The sequence below is a fragment of the Homo sapiens genome, chromosome 4, assembly GCF_000001405.40.
Source record: "Homo sapiens chromosome 4, GRCh38.p14 Primary Assembly".
NCBI lineage: Eukaryota > Metazoa > Chordata > Mammalia > Primates > Hominidae > Homo > Homo sapiens.
In genome coordinates this window covers 40,499,186-40,518,906 of record NC_000004.12, presented here as the reverse complement: position 1 = coordinate 40,518,906, position 19,721 = coordinate 40,499,186, and the positions used below count along the sequence as shown (strand labels likewise).

At 43.8% G+C, this 19,721-nt stretch overlaps 1 protein-coding gene and 1 non-coding gene across 39 annotated transcripts in view, besides 1 other annotated feature; both read left to right on the top strand.

Moving 5' to 3' along the window:
• RBM47 (RNA binding motif protein 47) overlaps positions 1-19,721 on the top strand; it is a 207,573-nt gene that overhangs the window by 111,946 nt on the left and 75,906 nt on the right. For 3 of the 38 annotated variants that reach the window (NM_019027.4, XM_047415812.1, XM_005248108.5), the window contains exon 1: positions 2,922-3,040. The exons of 32 other annotated variants lie outside the window; for them this stretch is intronic. The gene's annotated coding sequence lies outside the window, so the exon portion shown is untranslated. Of the gene's footprint in view, positions 1-2,921; positions 3,041-4,325; positions 4,392-19,721 lie in introns of those variants that run through there. 3 more of the 38 variants (XM_047415823.1, XM_047415813.1, NM_001371113.1) reach the window with 1 other exon arrangement.
• Positions 2,717-3,027: a silencer, noted in NCBI's record as "fragment chr4:40517897-40518207 (GRCh37/hg19 assembly coordinates)". NCBI's record gives its function as "represses an EF-1alpha promoter that drives an FKBP-Casp9 reporter gene in an ReSE screen in HepG2 liver carcinoma cells {active_cell/tissue: HepG2}" and the evidence as "EXISTENCE:reporter gene assay evidence [ECO:0000049][PMID:32094911]".
• On the top strand, positions 16,788-16,867 carry MIR4802 (microRNA 4802). Its single transcript, NR_039966.1, has one exon. It is a non-coding gene; the product is annotated as a microRNA 4802 (primary transcript).

The following is a 19,721-nucleotide window of genomic DNA, read 5'->3' as shown; positions in this document are numbered from 1 at the left end:
TTGATTTAGACCAGGCTTGTCCAACCTGTGGCATGTCCAGGATGGCTTTGAATGTGGCCCAACACAAATTCATAAGCTTCCTTTGGGATTTTTTTTTTTTTAAAGCTCATAAGCTATCATTAGTATCAGTGTATTTTATGTGTGGCCCAAGACAATTCTTCTTCCAGTGTGACCCAGGGAAGCCAAAAGATTGGACACCCCTGATTGGGCAGTAGGGTGTGTAGGCTACAGTGTGCATGTGCATGAGAGTGTGACTCAGGCAAAGAGAAGGGCTCCAACTGGGACCCGCTGAGGTTCTCAGATCTGTCATTATTAGCTGTGTATCCTTGGGCAGCCTCTCTGAGTCTGTCCTCTCATCTGTCTGTTTAATTAAATGAGGTGTCATATATCAAATACTTGATTATTGTAGGCACTTGAGATGCAATGTTTGCAGCTGGGCGTGGTTGCTCACGCCTGTAGTCCCAGCACTTTGGGAGGCCGAGGCAGGTGGATCACTTGAGCTCAGGAGTTCGAGACCAGCCTGACCAACACGGTGAAACCCCATCTCTAAAAAAATAGCAAAATTAGCCGGGTGTGGTGGTGTGTGCCTGTAGTCCCAGCTACTCAGGAGGCTGAGGCAGGAGAATTGCTTGAACCCGGGAGGTGGAGATTACAGTGAGCCATGATGCCATGATGGCACCACTGCACTCCAACATGGGTGACAGAGTGAGACTTCATCTCAAAAAAAAAAAAAAAAAAAAAAAAAAAAGAAAAGAAAAGAAACAATGCTTGTTTTGTGGTGTGATTTGATGGCTATCTTATTGGCTATCTGGACTTCATAATCCCATTTTCTCATCCTCATTGAAATACAAAATAAATAAATAAATAAAAGCAAAGCAACTACCTTAAAACCCCAAATTCTGGCATTTGTTTATATAGTGATCCTTCTGTATCCATGGGGAATTGGTTGCAGGCCCCCCAGATTTTGGATGCTCGAGTCCTCTATATAAAATGGTGCAGTATTTGCATATGACCTACACATATCTTCCCATATACTTTGAGTCATCTCTAGATGACTTAGAATACCTAATCCAATGGAAATGCTAGTAAGTAGTTGTTATGCTGTATTGTTTAGGGAATAATGACAAGAAAAAGAAGTCTATGTGTTTAGTACAGACACAGCCGTCCTTTTCACATTTTTACATTTTTAATTTTTTGTGGGCACATAGTAGTATATATATTTATGGGGTACATGAGATTTTTGAATATTCTTGATCTGTGGTTGGTTGACTTCAGGGATGCGGAACCCACAGACACTGAGGGCTGACTGTACGTAGAATATATGCCTTTGAAACACTGTTTTGGATTCAGATTTTGTGTCTTCAAACTTTTTTTTATCAAAATTTAAGTATATTTCTGAACAGTAAGGCATTGGACTCCATGCCAGGGGGTGCAGAGGTGAGTGTTCTGGTGATCTAGAAAGGAGTTGAGGGTCGGGCACAGTGGCTTATGCCTGTAATCCCAGCACTTTGGGAGGCCGAAGCGGGTGGATCATTTGAGATCAGGAATTCAAGACCAGCCTGACCAACATGGTGAAACCCTGTCTCTACTAAAACTACAAAGAAATTAGCCAGGTGTGGTGGTGCATGACTATAATCCCAGCTACGCAGGAGGCTGGGGCAGGAGAATCTCTTGAATCTGGGAGGTGGAGGTTGCAGTGAGCTGAGATTGTGCCACTGCACTCCAGCCTGGGCAAGAGGGCGAGACTCCATGAAAAAAGAAAGAAGGAAGGAAGGAAGGAGGGAAGGAAGGAAGGTGGGGAGGGAGGGAGGGATGGCATTTGAGGACACGCAAATACCCTAATGCAGAGTGGAATGAGACAGGTGACCCAAGAGGGGTGCTCATGGGAAAGACTTCTGTGATAGGAGTAATTAATCCCTAGCATGCAGGGGATTTACTCCTCTTGGGTTTGCATAAAGAAGGGCACGCAAGGGACAAGAGGTCAAGTGAGATAAACCCTAACATTAGAATAAGGGGCTGGCCCGTGCTGAGGGAGGAAGGAAGATGAGGAGAGGGATCTGAGAGGAAACTATGCCACAGGTGGCGGGGAGAGCAGGTTAGACCAGGTGGGGCCTTACGGCTCTGAGAGGAGGTGCTTTTGGAGGTCAGTGGCTTAAGGGAAATCCTGGGCTGTCAGGAAAGGCCACCTCAGCCCCTGGCCTGTCAGCAATGGCTCAGTGACCTTGGGCTGTTTTTGGATCTTTCTGCATCTCTGAATCTCGAGAATAATAATAATACCTGTGTAAACCATGCACTGGGTTGTGTGATATGTCACATAAAATAGTAGAAGGAGAAATAGAATGATGAGGGCCAGGCATGGTGGCTCATGCCTGTAATCCCAGCACTTTGGGAGGCCAAGGCGGGCGGATCACCTGAAGTCAGGAGTTCGAGACCAGCCTGGCCAACATGGTGAAACCCTGTCTCTACTAAAAATACAAAAATTAGCCAGGCATGGTGTCAGGTGCCTGTAATCCCAGCTACTTGGGAGGCTGGGGCAGGAGAATCGCTTGAACTTGGGAGCGGAGGTTGCAGTGAGCCGAGATTGTGCCACTGCACTCCAGCCTGGGTGACAGAGCGAGAATCCGTCTCAAAAAAAAAAAAAAAAAGAAAGAAAAGAAAAAGAGAATCATCGCCCTCCCCCAACACCCATTATGTTCCTCTCAGGGAAGCAAGGCAAGAAAGGAGAGAGGAAGAGAGGGAAAAAAGAGAAAAAGGGAGGCCCGGATGAGGCGTTAGGAGGCGGGTCAGCTCACTGTGATAGAGGGCAAGACGAGAAATGTTGTGAAAGCAAAAGGAGCTGACAGGCAGGGCTGGGGGGCGGGGAGGCCCTGTTGCCACGCCCCGGGCAGGCAGATAAAACGGTCATTTATGGTACCCACCCTAACAGATTAGTCAGTCAGACCCAGGAGGAGTGAGGTCAATTGCCCTTTAGTCCCAGGACTAACCGGAAGCTTCTGCAACAGGAGGACATTGAAAATAAGATGGAACCCATCCACATAAGGTAGGAGACCAAAAAATGACAACAACCCTTCTGACATTTTAAAACTGTCAAGAACTGCTCTGTGCCATTTTCTAGGCTCCTGGAGCTGGAGAGCTGTCAGTTCTTGGAAATAACTTCTGTGTTTCTAGACATTTGTACTTTATAGATGAGGAGACGGGCTCAGGGAGGTTAAGTTACTCCCTCAAGGTCACACAGCTGGAGTGTAGAAAACACATGATCTCAATTCTAGGTTCAGTTTTGTTTTGCTTTGTTTTGTTTCCACCCCAGCAGATATTTTAAAGGTAGGAAATGCAAAATTCTGAGCACTCTCTTGGGGATTGGAGGAGTGGGTGGGGACAGAGAATGGGTTATCTTATTTGCCTATCCTGCCTGTGGGTGTGATTCTGCAACCAAAGCCAATTCTGGCTTCTTCTCTAGACGGTCTTGGTCTCTTTTTAGCGAGTGGGCTTGACTGTAGCTAAGTAATTCTGCTTTTTCATGTCTTAGATGTCCCACTCAGTCCTCCAGTAGCCGATGAGTGCGTGCTGCTTGCATGGGCCCAAGACTCTAGCAATCTCTATAGGTAGTTTCTGTAAAACCAGGCAGATAGATCATCCCTGGGCACCCTCTCTTTATCTCATTAACCCTGGTGGTACCAGGAGGCACCTGACATTCTAATAGTTTGGTGCCAGCAAGTTTCTGTTATCCTTCAGTTGTAATTGTTAACTTGAATGGAATGCAAAACTTCTGGTTTGGAGCAGAGTTGGGTCTTAACTGTGAATAACTTGAAGGATATGGAAAATGGGAAGTACCTTTGGTTATTGTGGAGGATGGTTTATGAGCACTTTTTGAGTTGCATTTTCTCTGATAAATAGGAATATGTGGTCAATGTGGAGATGCTACTGCGTCTACATATTCGCCGGTGAACTCCACCCTTTATTAACTCTTGCCTTTGACAGTTTTTCAGCTCAGCAAGCCAAGACTTGTTTGAGGATTAGAACAATGAGCTTATCGTTATGCCACCTTTAAAAAAATCGCTCTAACGCTTCCAGCGTCAAGGTTTATTTCTATGAGCCTTTCCGGCAACTCCGCCCCCACCACCTGAAAGTTTGACATTGCTTTCCCCCTTAAGGGGAAGTGTGGAAATAGAGCCTGCTTGTTCATTTTCATTATTGTACATTACATGATATCTTTTCGACCATTATATTGTGTTCCCTCAGTGGTGTTTGCTCTGAGGGTGGGACACAAGCCTGTTTAGTGTCTCGTAAAACATTTACCAAAAGCACTGAGCCATGGTTTTTGAAGGGCATTCCGTTGCCAGAGTGTGGGAGGAGAGAGCAAGCAGGGAAAGAGAGCGCCAGGTGCTTAGCAGGTACGTGCTTCCTACTTTAGTATATTCATATTAAAAATTTCAAATTGCATACGATTTGGGTTCCCTTCTGCGGAAGGGGCAGGGATGGTGAGGGGAAGACGGGGGCAAAAGGGATTTCTTTGCAAACTCTATTTTTTAGTGGCTCGGAGTCCCCGGATAATTGTAATCTTTAGCTTCCATCAAATGCTGTTTTTGGTTTTGCTAGAGGGACATGTGTGTAATGGAGAGTAAGTGGAAAACCTACTTGTGCTTGAGATTTTACAGTGGGCTGAATCAGAATCCTTTAGCAAAGAGTTCAGAACCAGGTCCTGTGTTTCTGGGAGGCAATGTGTAACCTTGCAATTTGCACTTCTGTGAGCTCGGGAATTCATTCCATTTAAAGGTTTTGCTAAATGGTGGTTCTGGTTTCATGAAAATACTTTTAAACTTTCTCCCCCCACCCCACCCCCAATTCTGTTAAATTTAGACAAGATAACAGCAAATTAAAGGTCAGGTTAGGCTGGGTGCGGTGGCTCACACCTGTAACCTCAGCACTTTGGAAGGCCGAGGTGGGTGGATCACTTGAGGTCAGGAGTTCGAGACGAGCCTGGCCAACAAGGTGAAACCCCATCTCTACCAAAAATACAAAAATTAGCCGGGCATGGTGGTGTGCGCCGGTAGTCCCAGCTACTCAGGAGGCTGAGGCAGGAGAATCGCTTGAACCCCGGAGGCAGAGGTTGCAGTGAGCCAAGATTGTGCCACTGCACTCCAGCCTGGGTGACAAGAGCGAAACTCCGTCTCCAAAAAAGAAAAAAAAAAAAAGTCAGTTTAAAACGGCCTCTTATCCTCAACTCTGTGTTTTTGAAACAGACCAGCTTGAGACCGACTTTTTCTATACTGGTCATGGTTTAGGAGAAACTAATGAATAAATACTTCTTGGGAATACTAAGTCTTTATAATCTAGCTTTTTTGGGTGGGTAGAAAATATAATAAAGCTACAGCCTTAATCAAATGTTTATGTATGATCAATTGTAATAATGATATGCCACACACAGATAGCAGTAACTGTGTTATTAATAGTTAAAACTCAAACAGTTATAGGAAAATCTAGGAAAAAAAATAGTTCCAACAGATTTCTACAATTGCCAGTTCTTGGGGAAAAGTGTTGCAGTATAAAACGGGCAATATAACAAGGGTGTGGGATCTTTGGCCTGTACAAGGACAGTACTAAGTTGAAGAGCTCACCAATTATGAAAGAACATGATTTGGGTATATTTTTGCCCAATGACGCTTGCAGTAAGAAGCCAAGGGTTTTTTCTTCTGAGAAGTGGCCAGTCATTTGAAAACGGCTGGAAGAAATGATTGTTTCAAAATTGGAAGACATTTCCTCCACAGGACAAACTTCGCTGTGGCTTTGTATATTCAGGCAAATAGGAAGAAATCTAACAATTGTAGAGGTTAAAGACCTTGAGTTCCCTGGAAGCATGGCAGGTTTAATATCTTTTTATATGCATATCGGAAAATTGAGTTTAGCAGAAAGTCATTTCACTACTCTGACCACTGCAAGTTTATGTAACTTTTGACAAGTGGATTAATGTTTTCCTATGTCTCTTTTAAGATTTTGATACTTACTGTATCTAATTGCCTGTTACACAGGTGCACTTAGATTGCTTGAGTCTATCAAGTAGGGAAAGAGAGCCATACCATGTGAATCCAAAATAGAAACCCTGACCAGTGAAATAATTCATGCATTAAAAGCACACTTTTTCTTTTCTTTTCTTTCCTTTTTTTTCTTTTCTTTCTTTCTTTTTTTTTTTTTTTTGAGATGAAGTCTCACTCTGTCACCCAGGCTGGAGTGCAGTGGCACAATCTCGGCTCACTGCAACCTCTGCCTCCGGGGTTCAAGTGATTCTCCCACCTCAGCCTCCCAAGTAGCTGGGATTACTGGCAGCCACCATCATCTCCAGCTAATTTTTGTATTTTTGTAGAGACAGGGTTTCACCATTTTGGCCAAGCTGGTCTTGAACTCCTGACCTCAAGTGATCCACTCGCCTCGGCCTCCCAAAGTGCTGGGATTACAGGCGTAAGCCACCGCACCCGGCCTTTTTTTTTTTTTTTTTTTTGAGATGGAGTTTCGTTCTGTCACCCAGGCTGGAATGCAGTGGCGCAATCTCGGCTCTCTGCAACCTCCACCTCCCAGGTTCAAGAGATTCTCCTGCCTCAGCCTCCCAAGTAGCTGGGCGCCCACCATCATGCCCGGCTAATTTTTTGTATTTTTAGTAGAGAAGGGGTTTCATTATGTTGGCCAGACTGGTCTTGAACTCCTGACCTCAGGTGATCCACCTGCCTTGGCCTCCCAAAGTGTTGGGATTAGAGGTGTGAGCCACCGCGCCTGGCAATACCACACTTTCTAAAGTAGATTGAGCCTGTGTTGAGTCTGAAATTTTATCAAAGGAACAGAAAGACTCTGGGGAAAAATCTAAAAACAAACCATTTCTAGACACTTGTCATTCCTTGTTTCCCTTTATTTCACTAGGAAAATCCATATTCGGTACAATCTTTTTGTTTAGTTTTTCTTTTTTCTTTTCTTTTTTTTTTTTTTGAGACAGAGTCTTACTGTGTCCCCCAGGCTGGAGTGCAGTGGCACAATCTTGGCTCACTGTAACCTGTGCCTCCCAGGTTCAGGCGATTCTCCTGCCTCAGCCTCCCCAGTAGCTGGGGCTATAGGCGCCTGCCACCACGCCCGGCTAATTTTTGTATTTTTAGTAGAGATGGGGTTTCACCATCTCCTGACCTCAACTGATCTGCCCACCTCGGCCTCCCGAAGTGCTGAGATTACAGGCTTGAGCCCCTGTGCCCAGCCCGATTTAGTATTTCCATGAGGAATTGTAAGAAACTAAGATCAACAAAGGCTACGTTGGATCCTCCTGTTAGGGGTTCTTATGGTTTCATGATAGTTTATTGACAGATCTAGTCATGCATCACATTAAGTCCTGAATAACTTGGCCCACGTTTCTGGCATTTTAGACTCTGCTGCTATTAAACGTGATATGATAATAATGCTTCTATGTCAGGTTGGCTGTATTAGGCATATAATTGAGTAACGTCTCTACAAGCGTTCTTGTTTGTTATCTGCTCCTTCCATCCTTTAGACTGCAAGTTCTTCTTGATTTGTAAAATGTCATGAGGCTGAAATTTCTGGGGACAATAATAGGACCCAAATGAAAAGGCATTTCACAACATGCCATAATGCCTAAGAGGCAGGCCTGCTGTCTTTTCTGAACAGAGCTGTATGGCTTTGTTAAGGAACAGGTAGGTGACAACCTTTCAAGGTGATTCTGGCGGCTGTGCCAGAAAAGTCACATGCGTAGGAGCTCGGAGTCAGAACTACACGGGCAACTTGGAGGAACCTTCAGACACTTGGGCCATATGTGGCTGGTTTTGCTTTTTGCAGGATGAAGTAAAAACTGAATGCGTATAGGTTAGCCCAGTGATAATGAAAAATCCTTCAGTTGTCTAGCAACTCAAGATCTTAAGTAAGGCAATAAAACAGCCCCCACAGCAGCCAAAATTAATGCCATAAATTCTATTAGTACCTCACTCAGTGCCTGTTGACTCTTTGTATTTTTCAGTAGAGACAGGGTTTCATGTTGGCCAGTCTGGTCTCAAACCCCTGACCTCAAATGATCCACCCGTCTCAGCCTCCCAAAGTGTTGGGATTACAGGTGTGAGCCATCATGCCCGTCCCCCTATTGACTCTTAGTTTAGACATCTTTCAATAACATTTCTGGTTCCTCAGTGCATAATAAATCACGACTCTTTCTTTTCTCCTTTCTACTTGGCTGATGACCATTCAAGCAAGCATTCACACATGGACTCATTCATTCAGTCAGTACTTACTAATGGCTCACTCTGGGATAGGGTCTCATCTCACAGTTCTTGAATGTCACCTCTTCAAGGTGACCTTCCCAGGTCCCCTAAAGGAGGTCCTCTAATTTTGCTCTGAAAATACACATTGTATTTGTTTTATGCTTGCCTCTTTTGCTAAAATATTAAGTTCCCTTAGGTCATGGATCACAAGTGTCTAACTTGCTACTGTATCTCTAGCTCTTAGCATATCCCACGTGTTCAAAAATATGTACCAGATATATGAATAAATGAATGAAAGGAAACAAATGAGAAGGACAGGGATGATTACAGGCAGGCAGACAATGGTGAGAAATAGGGCATATAACAAAGGGGTAAAACTGCTGCCATCCAATCCAGAAGCAATGGTCCCCGAAGCTATTGCCCCATCTCAGCTGAGCTCTACCATGTAAGTTTCTTTACTTTTTTTTTTTTTTTTTTTTGAGATGGAGTTTCACTCTTGTTGCCCAGGCTGGAGTGCAATGGCGCTATCTTGGCTAATTGCAGCCTCCGCCTCCTAGGTTCAAGCAGTTCTCCTTCCTCAGCCTCCTAAGTAGCTGGGATTACAGGCATGTGCCATCATGCCTGGCTAATTTTGTATTTTTAGTAGAGACAGGGTTTTACCATGTTGGTCAAGCTGGTCTTGAACTCCTGACCTCAAGTGACCCACCCCCCCTCAGCCTCCCAAAGTGCTGGGATTACAGGCGTGAGCCACTGCACCTGGCCAGTTTCTTTACTTTTTTTTTTTGAGACGGAGTCTCACTCTGTCGCCCAGGCTGGAGTGCAGTGGCGCAATCTCCGCTCACTGCAAGCTCCGCCTCCCGGGCTCACACCATTCTGCCTCAGCCTCCGCAGTAGCTAGGACTACAGGCGCCCGCCACCACGCCTGGAGAATTTTTTTTTTTGTATTTTTAGTGGAGACGGGGTTTCACCGTGTTGGCCAGGATGGTCTCGATCTCCTGACCTCGTGATCCACCTGCCTTGGCCTCCCAAAGTGCTGGGATTACAGGCGTAAGCCACCGCGCCCGGCCCAGTTTCTTTACTTTTTAAAAATTTTATAGAGACAGGGTCTCACTATGTTGCCCAGACTGGTCTCAAATTCCTGGGCTCAAGTAATTCTCCCACCTAGACCACCCAAACTGTTGGGATTAAAGGCATGAGCCAATACAGGTCACCAACATGTAAATTTCTATGGATAACCTTGGTTCACCAAGAAGAATGTGCTTTGGAGCCTCTTTAAAATGATAGTGAGGGTACAAATCATTTTAGAAATATTTTTACCCAAGAAAGTAATAGTGTGTTTGCTTACATGAGTAAATTCAGTTATTTGGAAAATATCCTATACAAGTGATGTCTACAATTATGAAGCACCAGTGAATGAATTTATCATTCAGAGAAAATATTAAATCAAATAACTACTTTGAAAAAAATATATTATTATTATTTATTTATTTATTTATTTATTTATTTTGAGATGGAGGCTCACTCTGTTGCCCAGGCTGGAGTGCAGTGGCACAATCTCGGCTCACTACAACCTCAGCTTCCCAGATTCAAGCAATTCTCCTGCTTCAGCCTCCCAAGTAGCTGGGCTACAGGCACGCGCCACCACACCTGGCTAATTTTTGTATTTTTAGTAGAGACAGGGTTTCACCATGTTGGCCAGGCTGGTCTCGAACTCCTGACCTCAGGTGATCCGCCCACCTTGGCCTACCAAAGTGCTGGGATTACAGGCGTGAGCCACTGCGCCTGGCCGAAAACATATTATTTTAAATATTCATTGAAGTGTATAACATAAAGGCAGTAAACTGCACGACTGTTAGGTACACAGCTTGATGAATTTTTATATGTGTATGTACCTGTGGAACCACCACCCAGATTAAGGCACAAAATATTTTCAGCATCTCAGTATCGTCGTGCCTCTCCTCCCATTATCCCCTCAACCCAAGGTAACCACCATTCTGACTTGTATCACCATAGATTACCTTTGGCTATTCTTACTTCATTAAGATGGAATCAGACAGTATGTACTCTTTTGTATCTGGCCTCTCACTCAACCCTTTATCGGTGACGCTCATCCACATAGTTTCATGTAGTTATAATTTATCCTGTTGTTGCTGCATAGTATTCCTTTGTAAGAACAGACCACAACGCAGAGCATTTTCAGGAATTAAAAACATGACTATATGAGCTGAAAATCATTCCCTATCTGTGCCAGCTCTTTAAAGTTAAGTGATATCTTAAGGTGGGATGGAAATATTATGACCTGAAAGGGTGGAAGGAAAGAGGTCTGTTTCTGGGAGTGTATTTGCTAAGTGCTCTATGTTGGCTGTTTAACTGCAGTAATTACCCTAGAAGGTGACTGCTGCTGTTTTGTACATGAGGAAACTAAGCATCAGAAAAGTTTTATGACTTTACAGTGAGGCTGAACAAAACGTGAAAATTGTTAGTTACACCAGAGGGCAGTCCCGTCCTGGCAAAGACAATGCCAGAACGCTGTTGAGGCTCCGCCACCTCCGATTTCTGAGGCTCAGGTTTTACGTACTGCAGACTTTTCTTTTCTTTTTGAGATGGGATTTCGCTCTTGTTGCCCAGGCTGGGGTGCAGTGGGGTGATCTCGGCTCACCGCAACCTCCGCCTCCCGGGTTGAAGCTATTCTCCTGCCTCAGCCTCCCAAGTAGCTGGGATTACAGGCATGCGCCACCACGCCTGGCTAATTTGCAGACTTTTCTATCTTCTGTTGGAGAGCTGGCCAGCCATCTGACTTTTTTACTTAGGTCATTTTGTCTCTTTTTCCCTTCAAATTTGTTTTGTTTTAAAAATAAGACTTGCTCTGGACTTTTTTTTTGAGATGGAGTCTCACTCTGTCGCCCAGGCTGGAATGAAGTGGCGCGATCTCGGGTCACTGCAACCTCCGCCTCCCAGGTTCAAGTAATTCCTTGCCTCAGCCTCCCAAGTAGCTGGGATTACAGGTGCACGCCACCACGCCCGGCTAATTTTTGTATTTTTAGTAGAGACGGGGTTTCACCATCTTGGCCAGGCTGGTCTTGAATTCCTGACTTCATGATCCATCCGCCTCGGCCTCCCAAAGTGTTGGGATTACAGGCGTGAGCCACCGCGCCCAGCCGTAACTCTGGAATTTTAAATTTTTGCTTATGAATACTTGTTATTTTCAGACACACATGGTATTAATATATTCAAAAACTTTCATTTAGCAATTTTTGAATTTTTTTTTAAGATCAGGTTTTAGTGTGTATACATAAGGAAATATTTAATCATCATAAGAAAGTTAGGTGAATTTCAAGTGAGAATTACTGAGAAGTTTCCTGGGAGTCAATAATCATGTATTTTAAAGTGGAGTTTATGGACGTGCTTAAGGCCAGGTGTAGTGGCTTATGCCTGTAATCCCAGCACTTTGGAAGGCGGAGACTGGCAGATCACCTGAGGTTAGGAGTTCGAGACCAGCCTGGCCAACATGGTGAAACCGTGTCTCTACTAAAAATATACAAATTTGTCAGATGTGGTGGCGCATGCCTTTGATCCCAGCTACTCGGGAGGCTGAGTCAGGAGAATTGCTTGAACCCGGGAGCTGGAGGTTGCAGCGAGCCAAGATCGCACCACTGCACTCCAGCCTGGGCGACAGAGCAGAATCTGTGTTTTTGGTAGAGATGGGGTTTCACCATATTGGCCAGGCTGGTCTCGAACTTTTGACCTCAAGTGATTCGCCTGCCACAGCCTCCCAAAGTGCTGGGATTATAGGCATGAGCCACCACGCCTGACCAAGATTTTTTTGAAGGAAAATTGGAGAGAGGCGTTCAAGCCACTGCTTGTTTGGCTCCATCTGAATCATTCTTTTCCTCCAATAAAGAGCAAAGTATTTAGGTAACATAAGAAGTAGAATCAACTGGTTTCTAGCACCCAAGGTAGGTACAAATGTCCCTGGCACTCAGGATGGTCTCAGAGACACTGAGTCAGCCAGAAGGTAACTTGGAAGCCAGTTGAGTACAAAAGCCATTGCCACAAGGTTGACCTCATGCTGGTCTTGTCCTGTGTAACAGAATGAAAGAGCCAGTCAACAGCGGAGCCCTCTGCCCTTCCCAGTGCAGTGGCTTTCTCTGTATAGAACTTTTACCTTTTCCACAAAGATTCCAACCATGGGTGTTTATTGTTGGGATTAATTGAGATAATTTGCAGTATATTAAAGTATCTGGCACATCATGGGTGTCTAGGAGATCTCAGTTTGCCTTCCCTTTGAACAGGATTCCTTGGAGGGAAATTTGCATACATGAACGGAACCGGACTCTTACTTAATAGTGAATTCAAGACATTGAACATTGTCCCAGGTGGCATTTTTTCCCTTGAGGATTGTGAAACATTTAAATTAGCCATTGTTTAAGTAAGCACCGTTGCTGTCAATCACAAATGCAAACCTGGACTTGGAGTAGAAACAAAACAAAGACTTTTATTCTGCTTTTCCAATAAAATGGCTTCTTACTATAAAGCCATAATAAATACCTACTGTTTCATTTTTTAGTAAGAGTATTAGAGCAATTTGTCTGTACCATCACTGCTGTTGTTTGATAGTAGATAGGTCAGAGAAAGATCATATAATGAAGGTTACAGCTCACTGCCCACCCAACCCCCAAGGAAGATTGACTTGTCATATGATAAGGGCTTTATTTGCTGCATAAAATGACAAGTAAGTTTTTTTGTTTTTTGTTTTGTTTTGTTTTGTTTTGTTTTTTTTGAGACAGACTCTCGCTCTGTCACCCAGGCTGCAGTGGTGTGGTCTCGGCTCACTGCAACGTCTGCTTCCTGGGTTCAAGTGATTCTCGTGTCTCAGCCTTCTGAGTAGCTGGGGACTACAGGCGCACACCACCATAACCAGCTATTTTTTTTTTTGTATTTTTAGTAGAGATGGAGTTTCACTATGTTGGCTAGGCTAGTCTCGAACTCCTGACCTCGTGATCTACCCGCCTCGGCCTCCCAAAGTGCTGGGATTACAGGTGTGAGCCACCGCGTCCAGCCAAAATATATATGTTTTTAAATTCTAGGAAATAACGTTGATTTGGATATAGAAAAATTAAATACCAGGGAATGCTGGCTTATAAATTTTAGTCCAGCATCTTTTTTTTTTTTACACTTTTTTTTTTTTTTTTAGATGAAGTCTTACTGTGTCACCCAGGCTGGAGTGCGATGGCACAATCTCGCCTCACTGGGTTCAAGTGATTCCCCAGCCTCAGCTTCCCAAGTAGCTGGGAACACAGGCACATACCACCATGCCTGGCTAATTTGTGTGTTTTTAGTAGAGACGGGGTTTCACCATGTTGGCCAGGCTGGTCTTGAACTCCTGGCCTCAAGTGATCAGCCACCCATCTCAGCCTCCCAAAGTGCTGGGATTACAGACGTGAGCCACAGTGCCCAGCCTGTTTTTTTTCTTTTTAGACACAAGATCTTGCTTTGTCACCCAGTCTGGAATGCAGTGGTGCAATTACAGCCACTGTGGCCTCAAACTCCTGGCCTCAAGCAATTCTCTTACCTCAGCCTCCTGAGCAGCTGGGACTACAGGCATGTGCCACCGTGCCTAACTGATAGCCCAGCATCTTTTAAAGATAAAAATCTTTATCTTTGCCTAAAGGAAAATTAAGGAATCTTGTGCTTATTCTGAAAAACAAAATACAAACAACAATTTTTTGTCTTCAGAGGTTGGCAGTCCTTGGTCCTCCCCAAGTACTTCTTTGGTAAAGAATCTGCCATTGGCAGATAACTCACAAATGACTTATATCTAGGCCCTACAAAAACCATGACCAAAATAAGGAATGTGAATAGAAGGTGGACAAATTAAATGGTGATAATTTTTGGTGGGTGGGACTTTCAGCACAAATAAGTAATCCAATATTCTTTTAATTTAATTTCTATTAACAAGGCCTTATCATAGAAGCTGAGGTGGGGAGGGAAGTAGAAATAAACAGTCTAATTCACAAAAGAAAAATACTGGTTTACAACCTCACAAATAACCTGCAAATTAAAACAACAATGAGGGTCGGGTGCAGTGACCCAAGCCTGTAATCCCGGCACTTTGGAGGGCCGAGGCGGGTGGATCACTTGAGGTCAGGAGTTCGAGATCAGCCTGGCCAGCATGGTGAAACCCCGTTTCTACTAAAAATACAAAAAGATTAGTCAGGTGTGGTGGCGGGCACCTGTAATCCCAGCTACTGGGAAGGCTGAGGCAGGAGAATTTCTTGAACCTGGGAGGTGGAGGTTTCAGTGAGCTGAGATTGCACTACTGCACTCTAGACTGGGTGACACAGCAAGACTCCATCTCAAAAAAAAAAAAAAAAAAGAAGGAAACAACAGAGAGATACCATTTCCCTTCCATGAAAGACCCCAGCTTATTCATACATGCCTGGTGGCCACACAAATAGGTATGCCTTATTCAGAAAACAGCATGTCAATGTATGTCAAGAACCTTAAAGATGCTTAACTCAGTATCCCTACTAATACTGTTCCAAAGAAAGAATGCAAAATAGAAAACCATCCCTGAAGAATCTGAGCACTCTAATTCCCACCCATAATGAGAGGGTATACCATTTCCTTAAAAAAATTTTTTTTTCACTTTTTTTTCCAAGACGGGGGTCTCACTATGTTGCCCAGGCTGGCCTTGAACTCCTGAATTCAAGAGATCCTCCCACCTCAGCCTCCCAAAGTGCTGGGATTACAGGTGTGAGCCACCATGCCCAGCCTAATTTCATTGTTAATTTTGCTTATTTCCGTGTCCTCTTTTGCGTCCCTATTGTCTTTAATATGAAATCTCTGGCCATACCTCTGTGTGTGTGTATGTATGTATATATGTATCTGTGTGTGTATATGTCTGTGTGTGTGTGTGTAATATATTTACATATATTCTTCTCTCCCCCCTCTTAGGCTCTTCCATGCTTTCCATGAGTTTCTTATATAATGAGAAGCAGCATATAATACATATTATTTCTAAAAATAACTGAAATAATTAAAAGCCTTCTGCTGGCAAATCTACAAGACAATGACAGTAAACACTGTCCAAGGTGAGGGGCAGCAGTGAGGGGTAACCACAGTCACTGTCTCTGCTGCCCTTCACCTTCACCTTTTTGACCTTCCAGTGGACACCGCTAGTAGCACTTCTCAAACTGGAATCCTCTGCATCTTTTCAGAACGTCCAGGACTGGCATTGCTGGTACCCACTCCTCCTCTTTCACTCTTGTCCTCCCTTAGAGGCAAACCTGCAAATCACCTCTCATGAATAATCCCCTCATCCATGATGTGAAGTACACCTACTCTTCCCAATGCCCACCACCTACTAATGGCCATCAGCACCTCCAAAAGCATCTACCCAGCCTCCTTCCACCTTGAGGCCACCTTGTCAGGAGAGTCCTTTGCCTAATGCAGACTCATCATACTCCTGTGACAGTTTTTCTTTCTTCTCAGTTTTAGGTTCTGATTTCATGTCTTTGTAGTGCTTGTTTCAAAGACAGGAAGTGAAGGAGGAGGGAAGATAGAAATGTCAGACTTTAGTCACTGTTTCTGAGTCTGTGATGTAACACTGTCCTCTGTCTGTCCAGGCTTAACAAATTCAACTGTTTTCTTTTTCCATTCTTTTTTTTTTTTTTTTTTGTACAGACAGGGTTGTACAATGTTACACTATGTTGACGAGGATGGTCTTGAACTCCTAGCCTCAAGCAATCATCCTGCCTTGGCCTCCCAAAGTGCTGGGATCGTAGGCATGAGCCACCACGCCCAGCCGTCTTTTTTTTCGGACAGGGTTTTGCTCTCTCAACCCAGGCTGGAGTACAGCAATATGATTACTGCTCACTGCAGCCTCAACCTCCTGGGCTCAAGTGATCTTCCTGCCTCAACCTCCTGAATAGCTGGAGCTACAGGTGCATGTCACCACACCTGGCTGACTTTTAAATTTTTTTGTAAAGATGGCGTTTCCCCATGTTGCCCAGGCTGGTCTTGAACTCCTGGGCTCAAGCAATCTTCCTGCCTCAGCTTCCCAAAATGCTGGGATTACAGGCCTGAGCCACTGCACCCAGCAAATTCAACTGTTCTCAAGTTCTGTGTCGTTGGAGTCTTACTGATTCACGAGCACTCATTGGCCTCTCTTCCTCACCTCTTCTCACCCCTCCTTACCAGAGAGATGGGAAAAACACTGTCTTAGCTGGGGAAGCATTTCTCAGCAGCATTCAGGGAGTTCAGTCCACTTCCTCCTTCATGCTTGACTTCCCTTCAATTCAGACCAGGCTATATTCATCAAATGACGTTCTGGACTCCATTTTTTGAACAGAATAACAAGGACACATCAAACAAATTTGCTGTGGGAAATGTGTCAACATGAAAACAATATAACAGGTGATTTGTCCAATGTGACGTACCCACCCTTCTCATCCAAGAAGTGAGGCAGTCCAACCTGCTTTAGACATATGTCAGAAACAGTTACAAAATGCTCAAGCTTGGCCTCTGTAAATTCATTCTATTGAGCTGACTGGCTTGTATGGAGGTTCTAGACCATGTTAGTGTTCAAGTCTACATGGATGGAAACCTTCAAGCAGGCCAAGCAGGAGACAGGTGGAAGAAGATGTGTGCATTTGAGGGCCTCGCTGTGGGGCTTGTGGTGGTGTTGAGTGGGTAATTAATGTCAGCATCAGAAAGGGAATTCTGCCTCTGGAGAAGAAGAACTAAAAGACTGAAAATAGGGCCACTATTTTCTGAGTTTCTGAGCTTTATTTCACTCTTATCTGAGCATCTGTTGACTCTTGAGAAAAGTTGATCACACATTTCTAATAGTGTATTAAAGTGTATTGGAAGCTTCTGCTCACCATTGCAATGGAAAAGGCATTAGTTAGATTAGCTTCTCCACCAGAGTGGGTGCAGCATTTCTAAGACTTACTGATCTAACTCTGCCCCAAATCTCTCATTCTTCTGTCCAGGAGCTACCCTGTGAACACAGACATGTGTTGTCCAATATGGTAGCCCATAGCTGCATGCAGTGCAGTTATTTAAATTTGTTTAAAATTAAATGAAATAATTCCTTGTTTGCACTACACACATGCCAAGGACTTTGTGGCACATGCGTATCAGTGGCTTTTGTATTAGACGGTGCAGACGCAGAGTGTTTCCATCATTACAGAAAGCTCTGTTGGATGGCACTGGCCTAGATGCTTGTTTTCAGCATCTGACTATGTGAAGTATGGGCTGTGTATCTCTCCACCCTCTGAGGTTAGAACTGTGAGCAGCAGAACCTAAATGGGTTTTGCATACCAATCCTCTTTCTGCTTTCCACATCTTCTTTGTCATCCAACTTTTTTTATCATCCAAATTTTATTACAACCTTTGTCTTCATGTTTCTCCATAAGGTATGATGCTACATTGCAAGGATCAAGTTGAAGTTTAGATTATGCTTAAATTAAAACTGCGACTGTTTTCCTATGTTTTATTTTACTCGTCACGATAAATGAAGCCAGCAGCTGCTCTTCTATGCAGCATTTGGACTCTGAGTTAAAACTTCAGTCACCCGGGATCGCTTGTTTTATATTGCTGTTTTGTTTTTTTTTTTAACATTGAGGAACTTAATGAAGAACATAATCATTGCCAGTGGCCAGTTTAAATATTGACTTGCAGATATTTTTTCAAACCTTAGAATTTGAAATTCAGAAACAAGTGAAACCTGAGTAAGAGACGTGATAGAAAACCAAAGAATGTCACGACCATGGTCAGTGTTTTCTGTGATAGATTTGTTACTGAAAAAATTGTGGTTAAGGAACATCTGGTAAGTCAATCAGGTTTTAAATGTATTGAGAAAGCATAAGAAAAGTTGCTAAATTATTTTTTAAAATGACTTAAACTACCTTCTAATTCATTTGGTAAAATTCAGAAGTTTATGTACTATGTTGTTATCCCTGCAAGGCTATACCTATGACCAATTCATTAAGTACAAAATTAAGGCAAGTTGTTTAGGGTCAAGTAGATGAAACTTTTGTTGGTTTTATATATATATATATTTGGAGATAGGGTCTTGCTTTATCACCCAGGCACAGTCATGGCTCACTGCAGCCTCGACCTCCTGGGCTCAGGTGATTCTCCTGCCTCAGCCTCCTGAATAGCTGGGACTATAGGCACATACCACCACACCCAGCTAATGTTTGTATTTTTTGTAGAGATGGGGTTTCACCTTGTTGCCCAGGCTGGTCTCGACTCCTGGATTCAAGCATTTCGCCCATCTCGGCCTCCCGAAGTGCTGGGATTACAGGCATGAGCCGCTGAGTCCAGCCCTTTTTTTTTTGGGGGGGGACGAAGTCTGGCCCTTGTCGCCCAGGCTGGAGTGCAGTGGCACGATCTCGGCTCACTGCAACCTCCACCTCCAGGGTTCAAGTGATTCTCCTGCCTCAGCCTCCTAAGTAGCTGGGATTACAGGCATGCACCACCACACCCGGCTAATTTTGTATTTTTAGTAGAACGGGATTTCACTCTGTTGGCGAGGCTGGTCTCGAACTCCTGGCCTCAGGTGATCCACCCGCCTCGGCCTCCCACAGTGTTGGGATTACAGGCGTGAGCCACTGCGCCCGGCCTATTTTTTAATGTCACAACCAGATATGTTAGAATTGTTTAAGCACAGCTAGTAGCTTTGGGATACCCCAAATACAAAGGTGTTTTAGGGATTTATGTTATCTTTATGCTAAAAAAAGTTTATAGAGGGTTATAATTATATTATTATGGATCTTGCAAAAGAGCGGCATTAAGCACACATTTATTGAATGAATGACTGAGTGAATGAGTGAGTGAATACTCTATAATATGATTAACCCAATGGTTCTAAGACCTGCAATTGTGACCTGTGTTTATCTAATTTATTCCAAGGAGTCATAGAACTTAATTTTTTAAATTCTAATAACAGGCTGAGCGCGGTGCCTCATGCCTGTTATCCCAGCACTTTGGGAGGCTGAGGCAGCAGGATCATGAGGTCAGGAGTTCAAGACAAGCCTGGCCAACACGGTGAAACCCCGTCTCTACTAAAAATAAAAAGATTAGCTGGACGTGGTAGTGTGTGCCTGTAATCCCAGCTACTCGGGAGGCTGAGGCAGGCGAATCACTTGAACCCGGAAGGCGGAGGTTGCAGTGAGCTGAGAGCGTGCCATTGCACTCCAGCCTGGGCGACAGAGCAAGACTCCATCTCAAAATAAACAAATAAATAAAATAAAACAAAATTCTAATAACAAATTGAAATTAGATTTACCTTAATTTTACAAAAGAAAATCTACATCCTAACCTACTTTTAATGAAATAGGGGTGCTATTACATCAATCACAGAATGTTATTTCAAAACCTTAAGAGAACTTTGACTAGCCCTCTGAGTTTTGCAGTCTTCATGTAAGTATGTACTAATTGGTTTTGTTTTTTAAAAATTACAAACATATT